The sequence below is a fragment of the Homo sapiens genome, chromosome 14, assembly GCF_000001405.40.
Source record: "Homo sapiens chromosome 14, GRCh38.p14 Primary Assembly".
NCBI lineage: Eukaryota > Metazoa > Chordata > Mammalia > Primates > Hominidae > Homo > Homo sapiens.
The window spans coordinates 26,823,329-26,827,004 of record NC_000014.9 but is presented as its reverse complement, the minus strand read 5'-3'; positions in this window follow the sequence as shown (position 1 = coordinate 26,827,004).

Here is a 3,676-nt window from a genome sequence, read left to right as displayed (position 1 = left end):
CTTCAAATGTGGCTTCTGCAGCTGAGGAGCTGAATTTTTCATTTCAATTAATATCTACGTATGGCTAATGGCTACCATGTTGAACTGTGCAGTTCTAGGGGAAGGCAAAGACACTAGATAGATGGAGCCTGAAATGTTGCATGCCGGTCATTTAATTGAACTGTGATATGAGCTAGAAATGAAATTTTACTTTGCTAAATAACTGAGATTTGGAGGTTGTTTCGTGGAACTCTTAGACTACTCCAACTAATAAGGGGCTGTACTTAATAGAGTTAGGCATTCAGGCTTTAGCATGAGACAGAAAAAGGTTTCAATCCTGGCTCCACATTTACTAACTGCATAACATTGGGCCAGTTACTTAGCTATCTCCTTTGCCTATTAAAAGAAAATATTACCAGAACCTACCTAGTATGGTTATGTGAGGATTAAATAATATGCTGCTTTTACAATAACATATGAAGCATAGTAAAAGCCTAAAAATAGCAATTACAATTGTTGCTAAATAGTTGAATAGCTGAAAATATACAATTCATAAGGGTCACCCCCAAATCTTTCCTTACCTTAATGAAATATTTATGATAATTTTGTATGTGAGAGCAAGGATTGAGGCAAGCCATGACTTTAGTCAAATAGATTTGGACAGGATGCATTATAGCAGTATAAAACTGCATTTTAGTATTATGCCAGGGACTTTAATATAAACTACATGGAAATAAAGAAATAAAAAGAATCCAATCTATGTTATAAAAATGATTAAAGGGAGGGAATGCCTTAAAGAGGCATACTAATTAATAATAATAAAATTTAAAACCATAGTTGAAAACATACTCAAGAGGAAATAATGTAGCATGAAAATTCTAAAGAGATGTGTTTGGTTCAAGAACAGTTTTCTACTAACCCCACCAACCTACCTTGACTATGATTTGTTTGGGACCCTCATGATTAGGGAAAACACAAGTATGTGTGTGAGAGAAGAAAGAGTGGATGTGGAGAGTGAATGGGGAGTTTATGACAGAACTCTTATCCTAAATAAAAAGCAAATTACTGTAGAAGTATAAAATTTTCATAATAATTTAACAAATTACCACCAGTGCAATGTCATATGCACTTTAAAGAAACATTTATCATCAAATTAGAAATGCCTTATTTCATCTAATTAAAAGAGAGCTTCATACATTTTATGACAGAAATTTATACCAGGAAACGATACAATTTAAAATCATATTTATTATGTTTTAAAGCAAGTGACATATTTTAGGATGGGATAGATCAACTCATTCCAAGTGATAACTTTCTCCAATTTCAGCTACCTTGTTAAAACTTGAAAAATTATCAGAAATTTCTCTCTCATGGTGATATTTAATCTGAGTAAGGCCTTCACATTTTGTCTGATTGGCATATAAATCAAGAACAAATATTTCTTAAATGCTTATTTAAAGTACTCATTTGCCAGTTTCTGAAATATAACTCAAATGTTATGGAAATGAAAATTAATGTTCTTTTACCCATATATTTCCTAGAACTTCTTAATTTAGGGCAATTTTTGTTTGCTGATTTGTTTTGTTTTTTTGAGCTCATTTGTCCACATTAAAAAAAAAAAAATTTTAGATTATCATCTCCCTTAGATCATCTCATCTAGTCCAATGGCTTTAAACACAACCAATAAGCCAATGACTTTCAAACCTCCATCTGCCTCGTTGACAGTGTAAGTCCGCTTTTCTAGGATAACAAATAAATGGAACATAGTGGATTTCAGCAACATGGATTTCTTGTGCACAGCACTCCAGTGCTTCAACTCCAGTGGCCTTAACTCAAACAGCTCGGTGTCATGTGTCTTCTCATCTCAGATGCCAGGCTTAAGGATCATAGAATCACTGGAACATATCACTTTCTTGGTGAATGGGCCAGAAAAAGGGGCCAAACTAAAACATGCAAGCCAATTTAAAGCTTTTTATTACACATAGCAAATGTCAGGTTTGCTCATATTCTATTACCCAGAGCCATTCGTGTGGGATAGGAAGTATGTTCTGCATATAAACATGGCAAGGGAAGGAAGGGGACGAATACTCATGAACAAATAATCCCAGCTACAGCACTACCCTTTTTCTGAACTCAAGGTTCATATGGACATTAGAGCTGCTTAATAACTCCACCTGGATGTTTAACAAACATTTTGCCCTTACCATGTCCAAAATTGAAATTTTGATTTCCAGTGTCCCCTCCAAGCTGCAATTCACTGACCTGTCTTTCCTAGCTCAGTAAATGGCACTATTATCCAGTCTATGTTCCCAAGCACTATTCCCCAGCAGTGTATCCTATCACTAAAGGCTAGTACTTACAGAGTCAAATCTGGGCACTGGATTGCTTATTATACTGGAGGAAAGTTGTGTTTTTATATAATTTTAAACCTTTGTGTTATGAAAACTTTCAATTATATATAAAGTAGAGGGAATAGTATAATGAATTCTATGTGCCCAACTTTAATGACTATCCAATTCACAGCTAATCTTGTTTCACTAAACCTCATTCACTTTACTTCCCAACAGTTTTTTAAAGGAATTCCAGATATCACAACATTTCATCATTGGTATTATACTATAAGAAGAATAATATTTTAAAATCATCAAACAAATCACCATATGCTCTTGGTACCCTACGATAGGCTCCCTTTGCTGCCGGAATAAAGTCTAATTTCTCTGATATCCATAGTATCAGCCCACACCTACCTCTCTAAATGCTTTTCTCTCATGCTGCTGTCACCTGCATCCAATAGACCCTGAAACACTGAAATTTCTGGTCATCTAGTGTTCCCTTTGCCACCAAAGCTCTCCCACGCAATCTTCACATGGCTATATTCACCTTATTATTTAGGAATAAGCTTAAATGCTGACCTCTCAGAAGGACATTCATTGACCATCAGTCTTAATGATCAATATGATTTGTGGCTATTTTTTAGCTTATTATCTGCGGTCTGTTCATCTACTAGAATCTGAACATCTTGAGAGAGAGTTGGTGTTTTTTACTATCCCATCTTTACGTCTAGAACAGTGTTCTTTTGATAGCATGTGTTTAATAGATATTTATTATATGAATATTTGTGGTTGTATAGGTTGGTGAACTTTCTACTACTTGGACCATAATCCTCAGTATTTTCATTTAAAGAGTTAAATCCATTTCACTAAGTTACGTGGTTTCCAAACCTTACTATATATCCTTGCCTAAGATTTGGAATTACAGAAGACAAGCACAGAAATAGGGGAATGCTGTCTTGCCATGTTAAGATTAAATGCATTGATATGCTTGCGTTTCATTCAAGTGAAGAATGAGGGATGTGAACTGGATTCAGGAATGCACAAGGCACTGAAGAGCAGCGAAAGGTAGATCCAAAATTCCTCTTGGGACATAATTTAAGACAGCTTGACAGTAAAAATGAAAGATCAAAAAGGTTTAAATTCTTATTTCTGCTATTGTGGCTTCTAGATATAAACTCAGTTCTAACACATCCAATAATTTTGTATGAATTTTTTTTTGTTAGCCTATTACTCAACATAAAACCACTGAGAATCATCATCTCTGTCTAATTTTTGACCACATTTAAAGCAAATGGACAAGCAATAAAATAAAATATGCAAGCAATAAGCAGAAGGCAGCATACAAGGAGGGCTCGTCAGTAAAG